The following is a 19,413-nucleotide window of genomic DNA, read 5'->3' as shown; positions in this document are numbered from 1 at the left end:
CCCCAACCAACTGAATGGACCACTTCTCTCAGCCAAAACATTCCAAAGAAAACCTGGCAATCTAGTTCAGGCCATGATGGGAAGCAGGGGATCGGACTTGCCTCGTTATGCCCTTGGAATTCAGGCACTACGGACCAGCATTAACATTAAAACAGAGATCTTGAGACTGACTAAAACTTTTTTTTTTTTTTTCCGAGATGGAGTCTTACTCTGTAGCCCAGGCTGGAGTACAGTTTCCCGATCTCGGCTCACTGCAACCTCCGCCTCCCGGGTTCAAGCAATTCTCCTGCCTCAGCCTCCTGAGTAGCTGGGATTACAGGAACGTGCCAACACGCCCGGCTAATTTTTGTATTCTTAGTAGAGACGGGATTTCACCATGTTGACCAGGCTGGTCTTGAACTAGACCTCGTGATCGCCCGCCTCGGCCTCCCAAAGTGCTGGGATTACAGGCGTGAGCCACCACGCCCAGCCCAAAACAAACTCTTTATAGCAATAAGACATCAAATTCTAACCTGACTCTAGTATAGTCTCATGTGACAGATAACAGGCCCTGAAATAAACTGAAGTATTTTACCCTAAAATGTATTTCTTTGACATATTTTGAAATGACCCTGTAAAGCTGTCTTTTGTGAAGAAAATCTACATCCTGTAAAGAATCCCCTTCACTTTCAAAGTGTTTTCCTTGATCCAGTAGAGAATTAACTAAGAGTTTGGCACCTTTTGAAGTCTGGTAAGAAACATTTACAATCGTTTCTCTCTGAAGCCTGCTACCTGGAGGTTTCATCTGCATAATAAGAACATTGGTCTCCAAAACCCCTTATCTTAACTCAGACATTCCCTTCAATTGATTCCAGGTCTTTAGCTAATAACTTTTTTTTTTTTTTTTTTTTTTTGAGACAGAGTCTTGCTCTGTCGCCCAGGCTGCAGTGCAGTGGCGCGATCTCGGCTCACTGCAAGCTCTGCCTCCCGGGCTCATGCCATTCTCCTGCCTCAGCCTCCTGAGTAGCTGGAACTACAGGCGCCCGCCACCATGCCCAGCTAATTTTTTGTATTTTTAGTAGAGACGGGGTTTCACCGTGTTAGCCAGGATGGTCTCGATCTCCTGACCTCGTGATCCGCCCGCCTCGGCCTCCCAAAGTGCTGGGATTACAGGCGTGAGCCACCGTGCCCAGTCCATAACTCTTTCAACTAATTGCCAGTTAGAAATCTTCAAAAGAAAAGAAAGGAAAGGAAAGGAAAGGAAAGGAAAGGAAAGGAAAAAGGAAAGGAAAGGAAAGGAAATCTTTGAATCCACCTACGCCCTGGAAGGTGCCCCCACACTCCCCACTTCGAGTTGTCCCTCCTTTCCGGATGGAGCTAATGTACATCCTACATTTATTGATTGATATCTTATATCTTCCTAAAACATGTAAAACCAAGCTGTAGCCCGACCACCTTGAGCACAAGATCTCAGGACCCCCTGGGGCTGTGTCGTGGGTCACTGGTCCTCATATTTAGTTTAGAATAAATCTCTTTAAATATTTTACTGAGTTTGACTCTTTTTATGGACAGAGTCCAGTTCTGTACTGAACTAAGTCAAAATAAGTGCTATATTATTGCTGACATTATTATTATTCGTGCGTATCTCACCACTCTCCTGTAAGACACTCCCGTATCTCTTTCTGCAGTCCAGATTTAATAACACTCATGGCAATAGTGCTTCCTATTGGCCAGGCAGTGTGCAGATAGCTTGGAGTTAGAGGTCTGGGTTTGAAACTGCCTGTTGATTTCTAATTATTCTACAAAAGCCTAAAATTCAAAATGTTCCAAACTAATCTCATCATCCTTCCCTCATCCCCCTGTTCCTCCTCCAGGGTTCCCCCACCTCAGTGAATGCACCAGTTTGCATCCAACCAAGAAACTCATTACACTACTGAACTCCAGCCTGGGCAACAGAGTGAGACCATGTCTATAGAAGGTATATATACAGTTTCATATTATTTAGGAAAGCATAACTTAGGGCCAAAATGTCCTATAAAGGTATGAAAATTTCACCTGTTATAAGTCATTCTGGACCCAACACCTTTTTATATTTGACAACTTTTCCGTCTCTTGTGTGGTTATTAGTCCATTCAGGTTTTTAATGCCTTTAACCAATTTTGGTACTTTCTTCCATAGAAAATAATTTGGCATAGGCTGTCAAATTTACTGATACAAAATCATCTTACTTTTTATATGTCCATGTCTGAAGGGATTTGTCCCTTTTCTTGTATCAATTACTGTTTACCTATACTTTTTCTCTTTTATTGAATTTTTCACAGAACCAACTTTTAGTTTTTTCATATTTCATTGCTTTTTCTATATCATTGATTTTTAGTATCATTTTTCTTTTTCATGAACACGTCTAATACCATATCGTGTTTCATTTTATCATTATTGATTTATTTCTTAAAATCTGAAAGACGTATATTCTTTTTCTAGTTTTTGAATAGCATGCCTAATTTTTTATAGCTTTTTGGTTCTCTCATACTTGTATTTATGTCTATAAGCTTTCTTCTGAGTCTGTTTTAGTCATACTTCATGTTTGATTATTCTTATTTTTCTGATTTCTTTTTTTTTTTGAGACAGAATCTCCCTCTGTCACCCAGGCTGGAGTGCAGTGGCGCGGTCTCGGCTCACTGCAACTTCCCCCTCCTGGGTTCAAACGATTCTCCTGCCCATGATAGGGTGGGATCATATACTATGATCATCCAGAGATGCAAGAATGTTTCAACATATGTAAATCGATCAGTGTGATATACCACATTAACAAAATGAAAAATAAAAATCATATGATCATCTCAATGGATACAGAAAAAGCATTTGACAAAGTTCAACATACTTTCATGATAAAAAAAAAACTCTCACCAAATTAGACATAGAAGGAATGTACATCTGGGCATGGTGGCTCAGGCCAGGCGCGGTGGCTCACACCTGTAATCCCAGCACTTTGGGAGGCTGAGGTGGGTGGATCATCTGAGGTCAGGAGTTCGAGACCAGCATGGCCAACATGACAAAACCCAGTCTCTACTAAAAATAGAAAAATTAGCCAGGCATGGTAGTGCACGCCTGTAATCCCAACTACTGTAGAGGGCTGAGGCAGGAGAATTGCTTGAACCTGGGAGGCAGAGGTTGCAGTGAGCTGAAACTGTGCCACTGCACTCCAGCCTGGGCAGCAGAGCTAGACTCTGTCTCAAAAAAATAAAAAAGAAGGAATGTACCTCAGCTGGGCATGGTGGCTCACGCCTGTAATCCCATCACTTTGGGAGGCTGAAGCAGGCAGATCACTTGAAGTCAGGAGTTCGAGATCAGCCATGAGCAATATGGCAAAACCTCATCTCTACTAAAAATACAAAAATTAGCAAGGTGTGGTGGCACGTGCTTGTAATCCCAGCCACTTGGGAGGCTGAGGCACCAGGGTCACTTGAACCCAGGAGGCGGAGGTTGCAGTGAGCCAAGATTGCACCACTGCACTCCAGCCTGGGCAAGAGTGAGACGCTGTGTAAAAAAAAAAAAAAAAAAAAAAAAAGAAAAGAAAATATATATGAAACTCAACTCTATAGCAAGAATACAAATAACTAGATTAAAAAATGGGCAAAGTACCTGAATAGACATTTCTCCAAAGAAGACATACGAATGACCAACAGAAAGATGAAAAAATGCTCAACATCACTCATCATCAGAGAAATGCAAATGTGATAATCACCATAATCCTCTTAGAATGGCTGTATTATTATTATTATTACTTTTTGAGACAGAGTCTCGCTGTTGCTCAGACTGAAGTGATCTCAGCTCACTGTAACCTCTGCTTCCCAGGCTCAAGCAATTATCATGCCTCCGCTTCCCAAGTAGCTGGGATTACGGATGCACGCCACCAAACTCGAGTAATTTTTGTATTTTTAGTAGAGACCGGGTTTTGCCATGTTGACCAGGCTGATCTCGAACTCCTGGCCTCAAGTGATCCACCCACCTCGACCTCCCAAAGTGCTGGGATTACAGGCGTGAGACATCATGCCCAACCAGAATGGCTGTTATCAAAAAGAAACAGATGGCTGGGTGCAGTGGTTCAAGCCTGTAATCCCAGCACTTTGGGAGGCCGAGGCAGGTGGATCGCTTGAGCTCAGGAGTTAGAGACCAGCCTGGCCAACATGGCAAAAACCCGTCTCTACTAAAATACAAAAATCAGACGACGGGGGTTGTGGTGGGCACCCATAATCCCAGCTATTCGGGAGGCTGAGGCAGGAGAATCACTTGAACCAGGGAGGCGGAGGTTGAAGTGAGCTGAGATCATGCCACTGCAGTCCAGCCTGGGTGACAGAGTGAGACTTCGTCTCAAAATAAAAAATAACATAACATAACATAACATAACATAACATAACATAACATAACATAACATAACATAACATGACAACAGATAACATGTAGGTGGTGGAGAAAATGGAACCCTTGTACACTGTTGATGGGAATGCAAATTTGTCCAACCATCATGGAAAACAGTACGGAAGTTTCTAAAAAAAATTAAAAATAGAAATACCATATGATTCAGCAATCCTATTACATGGATACATTTCCAAAGAAAATAAAATCAGTATGTCAAAGAGGTATCTGTACTTCCATGTTAATTGCAGCATTATTCACAACAGCTGAGACATGGAACAACCTATGTGTCCATCAATGGATGAATGGTAAAGAAAATGTGTATACACACACACACACACAAAATGACATATTATTCCTCCTTTAAAAGGAAAAAATCCTGTCATTGTCACAACATGGATGAAACTGGAGGATATTAAGCTTAGTGAATAAGGCATAGAAAGACAAATACTGTATGATCTCACTTATATGTAGAACCTAAAAAAGTTGGCCAGGCACGGTGGCTCACACCTGTAATCCCAGCACTTTGGGAGGCCAAGGCAGGCAGATCACTAGGTCAAGAGATCGAGACCATCCTGGCCAACATGGTGAAAACACGTCTCTACTAAAAATACAAAAAAAAATTAGCTGGGCGTGGTGGTGCATGCCTGTAATCCCAGCTAGTCAGGAGGCTGAGGCGGGAGAATCACTTGAACCCAGGAGGCAGAGGTTGCAGTGAGCCAAGGTTGCGCCATTGCACTCCAGCTTGGGCGACGAAGCAAGACTCTCTCTCTCTCTCAAAAAAGTTAAACTTACAGAAGCAGAGAGTAAAATGGTGGTTGCCAGCAGCTGAGATGGGTAAATGGTGACATGCTGGTCAAAGGGTACAAAGTTTCAGTTGGACAGGACGAAGAAATCAGAACAAAAAAGCAAAAATAAAAATAAATTTAAAAAAATGTAGCAGATATAGGAAACAGAATTATCATTATTTGTAGATCACATAATTATTATTATAGAAAAGACCACAGACTCAGAATTTAACGATAAGACTTCATTATTATAAAATGTTCACTGGAGGAAAGGAGGAATTTTCACTAACCAGGGGCTGGGTAAACACTTCTATTCCTTAGCACATCACAGTTACAGGATTTGTTTTATAAAGATATAAAATCAGGCAGTCGTTTTCCAAGAATTGCCTTGGGGCCTTGTGACATGAAGGAATGGGAGATAAGACAGTGTGGTACTCATCCGGGAGGGCAATGTTCCAAACAGTTATTTGAAAGGAGTGGCAATAATATAGATTTGAAAAGAGTTGCATGTTTATCCATTAAAATAGCTAAGAATATATCATTTTATTGAGATTTTCTATACCTGACGTGTAATACAATTTTTTAATGGAGAAGTTGTTTTCATCATTATCCTCACAGAAAATCCAAGAAATCCAGCCAGGCGCAGTAGCTCACACCTGTAATCCTAGCACCTTGGGAGGCCAAGGCAGGTGGACTGTATGCATTCAGAAGTTCGAAATCAGCCTAGGCAACATAGTGAGACTCTGTCTCTACAAAGCATTAAAAAAGGCCGGGCACTGTGGCTCACGCCTGTAATCCCAGCACTTTGTGAGGCCGAGGCAGGTAGATTACCTGAGATCAGGAGTTTGAGAACAACCTGGCCAACATGGTGAAACTCCATCTTTACTAAAGATACAAAAAAACTAGCAGGCACGGTGGTGGTGGTGGGAGGGGCGGGGGTGGCACCTGTAATCCCAGCTACTCGGGAGGCTGAGGCAGGAGAATCGCTTGAAGCTGGGAGGCAGAGGTTGCAATGAGCCAAGATTGCACCATTGCACTCCAGCCTGGGCAAAAAAAGCAAAACTCCATCTCAAAAATAAATAAATAAATAAAATAAAAATAAATTAGCTGGGCATGGTGGCACATACCTGTAGTCCCAGCTACTTGGGAGGCTGAGACAGGAGGATCACTTGAGCCTAGGAGGTCAAGGCTGCAGTGAGCCATGATCATACCACTGCACTCAGCCTGGGTGACAGAGCAAGACATTGTCTCAAGGGGGGCAAAAAAAGGAAAAAAAAAAAAGAAAATTAAAAAAAATCAACTAAAAAATTATATTAAAACAATAAGAGAGTTTAGCAATGTGGACACACATAAGATGTTAAATACAAAAATCCTCAGCCCCTTTACATCCATCAACGTCCAGTTAGAAAAGATACTAGGGGCCAGGCACGGTGGCTTATGCCTGTAATCCCAGACTTTGGGAGGCCGAGGCGGGTGGATCACTTGAGGTCAGGAGTTCAAGGCCAACCTGGCCAACACAGTGAAACCCCATCTCTACTAAAAATACAAAAATTAGCCAGGCATGGTGGTGGACACCTGTAATCCCAGCTACTTGGGAGGCTGAGGCACGAGAACTGCTTGAACCTGGGAGGCGGAGGTTGCAGTGAGCCAAGATCTTGCCACTGCACTCCAGCCTGGGCGATGGAGTAAGACTCGGCCTCAAAAATTAGCCAGGCGTGGTGGCGGGCGCCTGTAGTCCCAGCTACTCAGGAGGCTGAGGCAGGAGAATGGCGTGAACCCAGAAGGCGGAGCTTGCAGTGAGCCGAGATCGCGCCACTGCCCTCCAGCCTGGGCGACAGAGCGAGACTCTTGTCTCAGAAAAAAAAAAAAAAAATACTAGGAACTGATACTAGTTCAAAATCACTAGGAATATGGCCTGCGTGGTGGCTCACACCTGTAATTTCAGCATTTTGGGAGGTTCAGGCAGGTGCATCATGTGAGGTCAGGAGTTCGAGATCAGCCTGGCCAACATAGTGAAACTCCATCTCTACTAAAAATGCAAAAATTAGCCAGTGTGGTGGTGCGCACCTGTAATCCCAGCTACTGGGGAGGCTGTGGGGGGAGAATCACTTGAACCCAGGAGGCAGAGGTTGCAATGGGCTGAGATCATACCACTGCACGCCAGCCTGGGCAACAGAGACTCGTCTCAAAAACAAACAGAGGCTGGGCGTGGTGGCTTACACCTGTAATCCCAGCACTTTGGGAGGCCAAAGCGGGAGGATCACTAGGTCAGGAGATCAAAACCATCCTGGCTAACATGGTGAAACCCCGTCTCTACTAAAAATACAAAAAAAAAATAAAAATAAAAAAAATAAAATTAGCCAGGAGTGGTGGCGGGCGCCTGTAGTCCCAGCTACTCAGGAGGCTGAGGCAGGAGAATGGCGTGAACCCAGGAGGCAGAGCTTGCAGTGAGCTGAGATTGCGCCACTGCACTCCAGCCTGGGCAACAAAGCGAGACTCCATCTCAAACAAACAAACAAAAAATCACCAGGAATAAGCCAAGATACAGTTTTTTTTTGTTTTTTTGTTTTAATTTTGAAAAGAATGACGGCCCAAGTAGTTGGAAATATACCATGCTCCTGGATCGAAGACGTAGTATTATGAAGACGGTGAGTTTGTTCTATCTAACATATCTATAAATTCAATGCAATCTCAAAAATCACAATATGACAACTTACTTGACAAGCTAATTCTAAATTTTATTTGAAAATGTGGTTGGAAACTAAAGGAAAACATTTAAAATAACTCTATGAGTGGACTTAATGGCTATCTAATGGCTATCCAAATAGAATAAATACAGAACTCGGGCATTTAGTGCACTATTGGACCAGGAAAATACAAGTTAAAGTAAGATACTACTTTTCACACACTGGCAAAAATTTAAGAGATAATAGCAGGAGTTCAAGACTGCCAGGCAGGAATGTCTTTGTTTACTGCTGATGGAAATCTAAATTGGTAGAGCAAGTCTAAATTGGTACAGCCTACTGAAAGAGTGATACAAACACTCACATTCTTCAATCCAGCAAGTGCACTGATTGGCAATGTGCATCAGATAAACATCATTGTGTACAGAAGGAGGTGTACACAAGGACATTCACGGAAGCACTGTTTAAATAGAAAAAGAGGGCCTGGTGCCGTGGCTCACGCCTGTAATCCCAGTACTTTGGGAGACTGGGGAGTGGATCACGAGGTCAGGATCACTCAGTCTACCCATTCAAATGCCCATCCACCATCCTGGCTAACAGGGTGAAACCCTGTATCTACTAACAATACAAACATTAGCCAGGTGTGGTGGCACACTCCTGTAATCCCAGCTACTCAGGAGGTTGAGGCAGGAGAACTGCTTGAACCCGGGAGGCAGAGGTTGCAGTGAGCCGAGATCACCCCACCCACTGCACTCCAGCCTGGGCGAGAGCAAGACCTCGTCTCAAAAAAAAAAAAAACACACACACACAAAAAACAAAAACCAGAAAAAGAAATTGGCATCATCCGAAATGTCTATCAATAGAGGTCAAACGTGAACATTCATGTTGTGGATTATTATGCAGAAGATAAAAAAGAATGAGGTAGATTAGTAAGAATTGTTATGGTTATGTGTGCACTTGACTGGGCTAAGGATTGTTCAGCTAGCTGGCGAAACATTTCTAAATCTGTGAGATTACCTCTGGAAGAGATTGGCATTTGAATGGGTAGACTGAGTAAAGATGACCTTCACCAATGCAGGTGGGCATCATCCTATCCACGGAAGGTTCAAATAGAACAAAATGGGGGAGGAAGCGTGAATTTGCTTTTTTAATCTGGGAAACCCATCCTCTCCTGCCCTCGGTTGTTGATGCTCTTGATTCTTGATCAAGCCTTTGGTCTCAGACCAGGACTTACACCACTGGCCCTTCCAGTTCTCAGGCCTCTGGACCCAGTTTGAATTATCCCAATCAGCTTTCCTGGTTCTCCAGCTTGCAGATGGTATTTTGTGGGACTTCTTGGTTTCCACAATCTCTTGAGTCCATTCATCCATCCCATTGGTTTTCTGAAGAACTCTAATTTAGAGGCTGACTAGATAAGATCTCCAGAACGTATTAAGAAAAAAGGCAAGTTGCAGAGTATGAAATTTGCTTAAAACAAGCACATATATTTTTATGTACCTATATTACAAACACATTAAAAAATGTCTGCAAGATGTATATGTTTTCCTTTACACAGGGTACTGGAATTGGAAGTGGAGATAATGAAAGGACCCTTTACTTTCAACTGTAATATTTTATTTAAATGTAAATGTATTCATGATTTAGCCTAGATTAAAAAAAAAAATCAGCTAGCTAGAAGAATGAGGTAACTTTTAATTTTAGTACTAAAGGATAAACAGTATTTCACCCAACAGATGAGGGGGGAAAATATGAATTAGAGGACATGCCAATTACTTAGAGATAAGAGGAAGTCAAGACTTTCTGAAAACCAAACTTCCAAATTTTGCCTATACCGCCAGGTTAGTTCAACACAATTCAACCCAAATTACTAAGTACCTAATGTGTAAAAAGAATTGCACTAGGTGTTGAGGATAGATCCTGTCCTCACTTTCACAAGCATCTTATTTGACTCATTTGATCCTTGCCACAATATGAGGCAGGTATCAGGATCCTTGCTTTTTAGATGAGGTTCCCATAAGTAACATAAAGTAATGAGTTTGGGCTGAATGACAGAATTTAAACCTGAATATGACTCTGAAATCAGCCATTTTTTTTTTTTTTTTTTTGATTTTTAGTAGAGACAGGGTTTCACCACATTGGCCAGGCTGGTCTTGAACCCCTGATTCACCTGCCTCAGCCTCCCAAAGTGCTGGGATTAAAGGCATGAGCCACCGTGCCCAGCCTGAAATCAGCATTCTTTTCGTATGCCATCCCCCGTCTCCAATGAGGGTGACTGAACAAGTGTGTAGTTCTCCATAATCAAAGTAGACTTTTATGCACCTGGATATTTCAATAATTTTCTGCTCTCCTTCCCCATCCCCCAACCCAATCCACACTATGCTACCAGACTGACCTTCCTGAAGATTACGCCCTTGCTCAAGTCTTTTTTTTGAGACAGAGTCTCCCTCTGTCGCCCAAGCTGGAGTGCTATGGCGTAATGTCAGCTCACTGCAACCTCCACCTCCTGGGTTCAAGCGATTCTCCCGCCTCAGCCTCCCAAGTAGCTGGGATTACAGGCATGCTCCACCATGCCTGTCTAATTTTTGTATTTTTAGTAAAGACGGGGTTTCACCATGTTGGCCAAGCTGGTCTCGGACCCCTGACCTCAGGTGATCCGCCTGCCTCAGCCTCCCATAGTGCTGGGATTACAGGTGTGAGCCACAGTGCCCGGCCTCAAATCTCTTATCATATGGTCCCACCTTATTAATTTTATTTTCTACTCCTTTTCAGGCATCGTATGCCTCAGTTACTTTCCTAGAGATTCCAAGATTGGAATTTCCAATTTCCACTGTTCTGTATTGCACTGTTTTCTAGGTGCAGCTTGAATACTGCTTCTACCCTGAAGCTTTCTCATCCTCTGAGCACCTCATGGACTGTAGCCAAAGGGCTCTCAAAGCCACAGGCAGTCTGACAAAAGTGCTCTCCCCTTTCCTCCATAAGGAATTACAACCTGTATGTCTGCAAATCTACACTGCCTCATCCCTCCTTCTCAGTGTATGACCTTGCCTTGCTAACTCCAGAGAAATTTCAGAGATAAAGGTGAAAAGTCCTTAATTTCCTAACAGCAAACCTACAGATTTAGTATCTAAACCCACCTTTTCTTCCTTTTCCTCACGTAAAGGACATCTTTCCTCTAAAGCCAATCCTTCCTCCTCTCCCCTAGGATCCATCCCTTCCTGTTTTTCGAAGGGCTAAGTTTCTCTCCTATTAGCTCCTTTCCCAGAAGCATTTGAACATGCCCATCACTCCAGATTTACAAACACAAAACCTCCGAACCCCATATAACATTTCTCCTTTGCTTACTACCCTCTTCCCCTCACTTTGACGATCTCAAGCAAAATTCTTTCCCTAGCTTCCATGTGCCCCTGCTAGTTTCCCACCCCTCATGACTCCTTTCCAACCTCTATTCGTCTCTTGATTGTTGTCATCCTACCCCTGGGGAATCAGTGACCACTTACATATTCATGAATCCCAAGTCTGTCCTGAAACCTCTCCTCCTTGTGTCATTATCACAGCTCTTACCAAGGGAACCAGTCACTGGACTACATATCATGATTAACTACTCTGAAGCGTACCACATAGATGAGGAAACTGGATTTTGACTATGTGCCTAAACTACATAGCTTTCAAGAGGCAGAGCCAGGATTTTAGTATAGATTGTCTGCAGTCTTTGCATATACACCCAGATAGTCTACATGAAAACTAACTCATTTTACCTAGATAAACTTTACCCTGCCTCATGTTCCCTCACAACCAATGAACCAGAGGTACAAACCAGAAACCCTGACACATTGTTTTCTCCCTTATTTCTGCAGTCCAATGCATGATCAAGACCACCTAAATGGCATTACCACTGTCACTTCCTTGGATTACTGCCAAACTTCATACTGCCAACCCGAGCATTCCCAGTCTTGATCCCATAAGATTCAGTCTTAACAGTTCAATGATCTAAATCTGAGATATCACGCCATTTTAAAAAACCCTCAGTAGCTTCCCGTGTTCCCCTACACGATCTAACCACTAACCTACTTCCTTGATGTGGTCCCGAGCCAGTCCTCTACACTATCAGTTCGTTTATTTCCTATCTCGTGTCATTCTTCCCCTTACACCACCTTCTTCTTATTTTAGGTATAGATGCCACTTTCTCTAGACAATTCTCTACCTCCCAGAGTAGAACAGGTAATCCGAAATCATCCATATTTTCCTTATTACACCATACCACTTGCCTATTATCAAGCAAATCAATGTGCTTTTTCCTTTACCCCAGTGACGCCTGAAGCTAGCTTTTGGTTAGGAAACAAATTTATTTAAAATGTATTCCTGGCCAGAAGCGGTGGCTCACGCCTGTAATCCCAGCACTTTGGGAGGCCAAGGCGGACAGATCACCTGAGGTCAGGAGTTCAAGACCAGTCTGGCTGACATGGCAAAACCCCATCTCTAATACAATATTAGAGGGGCATGGTGGTACACGCATTTAACCCCTGCTACTTGGGAGGCTGAGGCAGAACAACTTGAACCTGGGAGGTGGAGGTCGCAGTGAGCTGAGATCGTGCCACTACATTCCAGCCTGGGCAAGAGTAAGGCTCTGTCTCAAAAAAAAAAAAAAAAGTAATCCTGTTTCATGTACAGCTTTGTAGTATTTTTAAATCTATCCAGGATCTTTTACTGCCCCAAATTACCTGTATCTTGTGGTAGAGAGAAACAGAAGTCCAACCTACTATACACAGGATAAGTATCTCTTATCTGAAACACTTAGGACGAGATGTGTTCTGATGTTGGAGTTAAGTGCATATACATGACACTTTGGGGATGGGACCTAGGTCTATACAGGAAATTCATTTATGCTTCATATACATGTACCCTGAAGGTTAACTATTTCTTCCTCAGGGACACTGAATAGTGCTGTGTACCTGTATTTTGACCATAACCCACCATGCGGGTAGGCTAGGGATTTTTAAATTGTAGTGTCATAGCTCAGTTTCAGAGGTTAGAGCTTTTTGGATTAGAAATATGCTCAACCTGCAATTTTTATACTTGCCCTATTTTCCTAGTTTACTTTTTATAAGAAAATTTGCAGGCCGGGCACAGTGGCTCACACCTGTAATTCCAGCACTTTGGGAGGCCAAGGCGGGTGTATCACCTGAGGTCAGGAGCTCGAGACCAGCATGGCCAACATGGTGAAACCCCATCTCCACTAAAAATACAAAAACTAGCCAGACGTGGTGGCACACACCTATAGTCCCAACTACTCAGAAGGCTGAGCAGGAGAACCGCTTGAGCCCAGGAGGCAGAGGTTGCGCTGAGCCAAGATCGTGCCACTGCACTCCAGCCTGGGTGATAAGATCAAGACTCTGTCTCAAAAAAACAAAAAAAGGCCAAGTGCAGTGGCCCATGCCTATAATCCCCCGCTCTGGGAGGCCGAGACAGGCGGATCACGAGGTCAGGAGTTCAAAACCAGCCTGGCCAACATAGTGAAACCCAGTCTCTACAAAAAAAATTAGCTGGGCATGGTGGTGGGCGCCTGTAGTCCCAGCTACCTGGGAAGCCAAGGCAGGAGAATCACTTGAACCCGGAAGGTGGAGGGAGCTGAGATCGCACCACTGCACTCCAGCCTGGGCAACACAGCAAGACTCTGTCTCCAAAAAAAAAAAATAAATAAATAAAATAAATCTGCTAGACTCTTGAGCATCAAGAGGCTGTCACTTTACCTATTTATGGCAAACATATTTGTACAAGGAAAAAAGATGTTCTGAAGCCAAGGTGACCATAAGAAAAAAATGTCACTTGTGTCACTTGGTGTTCTAAGTTATCATGATTTCTCATGACATGATCAATTATGACTGCAATGATTTTGCACTACCTATCCAAGTATGGGCAGAGAGTGAGATTAAAGAACTGATTATTTAGGCCAGGCGCGGCGGCTCATGCCTGCAATCCTAGCACTTTGGGAGGCCGAGGCGGGCGGATCACGAGGTCAGGAGAGCGAGACCATCCTGGCTAACACGGTGAAACCCCGTCTCTACTAAAAATACAAAAAATTAGCCAGGCGCGGTGGCGGGCACCTGTAGTCCCAGCTGCTCAGGAGGCTGAGGCAGGAGAATGGCATGAACCCGGGAGGTGGAACTTACAGTGAGCCGAGATAGCGCCACTGCAGTCCGGCCTGAGCAACAGAACGAGACTCCATCTCAAAAAAAAAAAAAAAAAAAAAGGAACTGATTATTTAATGTTTATTATAATCCTACTATCAATCTGCCTCCTAACTCCAGCCTCAACAGGCTTTAAATCCAAAGGCTTAAATACATTTGTCAACAGGTCAAAAAGAACCTTTATTACTTTTTATGATTGCCACTTATGCTTTCTTGCCAGATGCCTTTGGAGCAGGTGCTTTCTGGGCTGGAGCTTTTTGACCCTTCTGAGCTTTTGGAGCAGGCGCTGCTTTCTGGCCTGTGGCTTTCTGGGCAGGAACCTTCTGGGCTGGAGCCTTTTTACTCGCGGCGGTGATCTTTTTTGCTGGAACTTTAGCAGCAGCAGCAGCAGCAGCAGCAGCAGCAGTACCCTTAGTACCAGGTGCTTTTTTGGGAGAAGCTTTCAGGAGAGCTGCCTTTTGAAGCTTCTTAACTTCATTCTTGATTATTCTGTTCCTCTGAAAATTATCAATGTAAGAAAGCACTTATTGTGTATACATACAATAAAATCCAATTTATGCTGGTTTTAGAAAGGGCATTAAGTAGTCTGTTTCCCTACAACTACATCTGAAGAAAGGTAACAATTCCATAGGGACATCATGAAATACAAATGAAGATAAATTCTCCTTTTTTACAGAAAGCTTCCAAGAAGCTGGCAGCCTGAAATGGGATTTGGCTACTGCTCCCTTATTATTTAAAGCTAAGTTACACAAAAATACAGATCTTAAATCTTACCATTTTCTTTGCCTTCATAACTTTAAAACGATCAAAATCTGTCATCTTGGCTTTCTGTTAAAAAAAAAACAACAAATAAAAATTATCCCTCTCACACTATCTTGAACCCTCCAAAAAAAGAAAGGACCAGAATTCAAATGACCCTAAGTTATTACCCTTTCTCTGGCTTCAATCTTCTTGGCCCATCGTGTGGCTGCCCATTTTGTATTGATGTCTGCCTTCTGCCAGGCTTGTCGGACATACTTCTGGTGGGCACTAGAACGAGCCAAGACCACAGATTAAGAAATCAGCTTTGAAGTCACTCATTATCAAAGACACTTTCTTTGTTCCTTGAAAAGCACTCTTCCTGTTACACAACACCTGGTACACTATGTATTTTACTTATTTTTGTGTTCAGTAAGCCAGAATAGGTTATTAACTTCAAGCATATTTTAATCAAAACTGTAATCCAGTCCCTTTTTTTTTTTGAGAGAGGATCTTGCTTGCCACCCAGGCTGGAATGCAATAGTATGATCATGGCTCACTGTAGCCTCAACCTTCTAGGCTCAAGCCATCCTCCTGCCTCAGCCTCCCAAGTAGCTGGGACTACAGGTGCATACCAGCACACCCAGCTAATTTTTATATTTTTTGTAGAGACAGGGTCTTGCTACGTTGCCCAGGCTGGTCTCCAACTCCTGGGCTCAAGCAACCCTCCACCTTGGCCTCCTGAAGTGCTGGGATTACAGGTATGAGCCACTGCACCCAGCCCAGCCCATTTTATGAATTTAAAAACTACCTCTTGACCAGGCGCAGTGGCTCACACCTGTAATCCCAGCACTTTGGGAGGTCAAGATGGGTGGATCACCTGAGGTCAGGAGTTCAAGACCAGGTTGGCCAACATAGTGAAACCCCATCTCTACTAAAAACACAAAAATTAGCTGGGCGTGGTTGCAGGTGCCTATAATCCCAGCTACTTGGGAGCCTGAGGTTGCAGTGAGTCAAGATTGCGTCACTGCACTCTAGCCTGGGTGACAAAGTGAGACTCCGTGTCAAAAGAAAAAAAAAACCCTCAAAAAAAACACAAAAAACCCACCTCTGACTATATATAATTCCACTCGGGCAGTGGACGTGTTGAAAACCATTCTTTTTTTTTTTCTTTTTTTGAGACAGGGTCTTGCTCTGTAACCCAGGATGGAGAATGCACTGGCGCAACGTTGGCTCACTGTGACCTCTGCTTCCTAGGTTCTAGCAATTCTTCTGTTCCATCCACCCAAATAGCTGGGGCTACAGGAGTACACTACCACACTGGGCTAATTTTTGGACTTTTAGTGGAGACGGGGTTGGCTAGGCTGGTCTCAAATTCCTGACCTCAAGTTATCTACCTGCCTTGGCCTCCCAGAGTGCTGAGATTACAGGTATGAGCCACTGCACACATCCGAGCCATTCATTCTCGTAACAAACAAGGTAATTAATATTAACTGTTAGGCTTTTTTTTAAAAAAAAATTTACAGTAACAATTTGTGGCCAAACATCCTAAAAATAAAATCCAGGGTGTCCAGGGATCCAAGGCAGAATTACAAGAGTACCTAGTGAAAAATCTAAGTTACCAAGTATTTTCTACTGCTTTGAACTTTGACAAGTATCCTCAAGCTTCACCCCTAATTGGTATGTCACAGTAGTAGCAGCATGGCTATGTTCACTCGAGGTTGTTCAAGTGGCATGTTTTCAACTACCAGTACTTCAAAATCCATTATGTGTTAATACACGTCCCACAGTGCCTGTAGTGCTCAGCATACAGTAAGTTTTTTTTTTTTTTTTTTTTTTGAAACGGAGTCTCGCTCTGTCACCCAGGCTGGAGTGCAGTGTTGCGATCTCGGCTCACTGCAAGCTCCGCCTCCCGGGCTCACGCCATTCTCCTGCCTCAGCCTCTGAAGTAGCTGGGACTACAGGTGTCCGCCACCATGCCCGGAATATTTTTTTTTTGTATTTTTAGTAGAGACGGGGTTTCACCGTGTTAGCCAGGACGGTCTCCATCTCCTGACCTCGTGATCCACCCGCCTCGGCCTTCCAAAGTGCTGGGATTATAGGCGTGAGCCACCGCGCCCGGCCAACATACAGCAAGTTTTTGACTATTTTTTAAAGCATGCAAAATTACATGTTCCACTGCAACCATCATTGTGGGTTGAATTAACTGTATAGCAACACACTAAAGTGTTTTAATTTTCATGTCAAAAAAGAACTGCTATTCACTGCCTCACTTAAATGTAAGCTAGGGATAAAACCTCTTATATTAAATACTGTGTAACTGACACACACTGAGAGCTTATCTAATGATAGCTAGTAGCAATAAACACAAGACTTAGTATTGTTGTTTACTTTAAGCTAAAAATTTGGCAGAAACCAGAAGAAAAGAAGATGGCAAATCTAAACAAAGGCAAAGCCCTAAACTACCAGGATAGAAAAGTGACCTCAAGGCATTTATTTTATTTATTTATTTTTGAGACAGGGTCTCACTCTGTCATCCAGGCTGGAGTGCAGTGGCATGATCACGGCTCTCTGCAGCCTCGACCTCGCTAAAACGATCCTCCCAACTCAGCACCCCCAAGGCCCCCCTACCTGGGATTACAGGCGCGTGCCACCATGCCCAACGAATTTTTTTTTTATTTTTTGTAGAGATGGGGGTTTTCGCCATGTTGCCCATGCTGGTCTTGAAACTTGGGCTCAAGAGACCCTCCCACCGTGGCCTCCCAAAGTACTGGGATTACAGGCATGAGCTATCACGCGCAGGCAAGACATTTTAAAAGTAAATAATCCCTGTCTACTTCTATGATGCAAATCCCTCTTCAGGATGGCTCTGAATCTTCCGTATTGTTTACTCCAAAACAAACTTTTACTAGCATAAACAAATCTGGGGATGGGAGGGAGGAGTGATTAGTGGACAGTTACCTGTGCGGAAACTTGAGGATGAAATCAGTGAGCTGCATGCACTTGAAAGGCATGGCCTGTCTCCTCACTTGAGTGCAAGGTCCATCGACCAAAGCCTAGAACACAAACATCAAGAACTTCAGTGCAAAATCTAACAGCAATTAAAATGGTCAGATGGTTCTGTAACATTACTTATCCGTTCAGGGCCATCAAACCCACACTACTATTTTAATAAATTGCTCAGAAAAGACAAGGATTGTCCTATCTGGGTTATATATATGTATGTCTTTTGCTCAACACAAACATTTCTCCACATCATTAAATGCTCCTTCTTAAACTATATAGTACCCCATAGAAACCAACCACATGTAATTTACAGGCAACTTTAGGACTCTGATCCCTGCTGATTTATAGTCAGTGGTCAACTCCTTAGTTTGCTTGTTTCAAATACACAGCAGTAAATACAAAAGTGCTTTCTACGTGCTGGATCTGTTCTAAACTCACTTTACGTATAGTAACTCATTTAAAACTAACCAACGTTTCAGCCTATAACTGGCTCTAGCTTAAGTGGCTAATACTGAAATTCAATACTAATAGCTAACTTCAGGCTGTGCTTAAAACCCGTACCATTACCTGTTTCCTCAATGGTAAAATAAAGCGACTACCCATAGCATCCTCATCTTACACAGCCATCGAGACAATTCATTATTGCCATCTGCAGGGCACATGTCCACTGCCATGTTTAGTAAAAAGTTGTGACACTTACCCTGTTCTGATCAATAACATCTACAATCGCGACCAATTTTCCGGCATGAGGTCCAAAGGAGACATAGGCCACCCGGCCAACCTCCACGAAGCGCCTGAACACCTAAAATTGGAGGAGAAAGGACAGTGAAACTTACTTAGAAATACTCGCTACATATGTCACCTTCTGCAGCTAAAGACAACATGGTTAAATTCAGCGAAAAAGAATGCTGCAGGGAACAAACGCCCGAGAGCCAGGCGCCAACCTGGATGGACGAAATCAGCAAACGCCTCAGTAGCTTAAGCCCGGTTCCCAACGCCCGCCAGCTCCCAGGTCCGCAAGGCCCACACGGCAGGACAAGGCTCTCGGACCACGAGCCGCATCAGCCATCCAGCTCCAGCGGCGGAGGCGCGCACGCGTGGCCCAAGGCGCGCCAGGCCTGCCGGGCCCTCCACGCGCTCGCCAGCGGCGAGTCCGGGAAGGGCGCGAGTCCGGGAAGGGCCCGATTCCGCTGCACAGCCGGCCCGGGGACCCTCACCATGCGCTTCCCGGGACCCTCTGGGAGCCGTTTGGCGCCTCAGCTTCCCAGCGGAGGTGGAGGTCGAGCGGCATGGTCGACGGCCCCGGAGCCCGCAACAGTAAGACTCACCATGTTGGCGGCGTTAGGCGAGAAGGAAGAAGACCCGCCCAACCCTGCGCATGTGTAGAAGAACGCACCGCCCCTGCGGTAACGAGTCACCGACGTGAGCACCGATTGGTTGGTGCGTGCGTGCGTGCGTGCGTACGCACGCGCTCGCAAGCTCACTGGGAAAACATGGCGGAGTCGGCTGGCGTTAAGTTGCTTTTTGGCAAAGTTGGGCGGCGAGATTGTTTTTGGTGATTTGGATTAGAAAGCTGCAGGAGGGTCATCGCTTAGTAATTTAGGGTTAAGAGTACAG

General features: G+C 44.0%; 1 protein-coding gene across 2 annotated transcripts, besides 3 other annotated features; it reads right to left on the bottom strand.

Annotated features, from left to right (window-relative positions):
- Positions 1-7,900: 7,900 nt before the first annotated feature.
- On the bottom strand, positions 7,901-19,149 carry RPL14 (ribosomal protein L14). Of its 2 annotated transcripts, none has more exons than NM_001034996.3 (6): positions 19,014-19,149; positions 18,497-18,598; positions 17,752-17,846; positions 14,982-15,081; positions 14,827-14,880; positions 7,901-14,549 (listed from the first exon to the last, which is right to left on the bottom strand). In NM_001034996.3, exons 1-6 carry the CDS (start codon positions 19,014-19,016, stop codon positions 14,256-14,258), a joined length of 648 nt encoding a protein of 215 aa, NP_001030168.1. In that variant the 5' UTR covers positions 19,017-19,149; the 3' UTR covers positions 7,901-14,255. The 2 variants fall into 2 exon arrangements, with proteins under 2 accessions (NP_001030168.1, NP_003964.3); NM_003973.5 differs by having other exon boundaries at positions 19,125-19,149.
- Positions 17,356-17,650: a silencer, noted in NCBI's record as "tiled region #106; K562 Repressive non-DNase unmatched - State 2:TssF". NCBI's record gives its function as "represses a minimal TATA promoter and a strong SV40 promoter by Sharpr-MPRA in K562 cells {active_cell/tissue: K562}" and the evidence as "EXISTENCE:reporter gene assay evidence [ECO:0000049][PMID:27701403]".
- Positions 18,864-18,913: a silencer, noted in NCBI's record as "silent region_14232". NCBI's record gives its function as "represses an Ori minimal core promoter by ATAC-STARR-seq in GM12878 lymphoblastoid cells {active_cell/tissue: GM12878}" and the evidence as "EXISTENCE:reporter gene assay evidence [ECO:0000049][PMID:35858748]".
- Positions 19,056-19,350: an enhancer, noted in NCBI's record as "tiled region #7904; HepG2 Activating DNase unmatched - State 1:Tss, and K562 Activating DNase unmatched - State 1:Tss". NCBI's record gives its function as "activates a minimal TATA promoter and a strong SV40 promoter by Sharpr-MPRA in HepG2 and K562 cells {active_cell/tissue: HepG2 | K562}" and the evidence as "EXISTENCE:reporter gene assay evidence [ECO:0000049][PMID:27701403]".

Source organism: Homo sapiens, chromosome 3 (genome assembly GCF_000001405.40).
Source record: "Homo sapiens chromosome 3, GRCh38.p14 Primary Assembly".
In the NCBI taxonomy this organism is placed as follows: Eukaryota; Metazoa; Chordata; class Mammalia; order Primates; family Hominidae; genus Homo; species Homo sapiens.
This window is presented reverse-complemented; position numbering and strand designations above follow the sequence as displayed.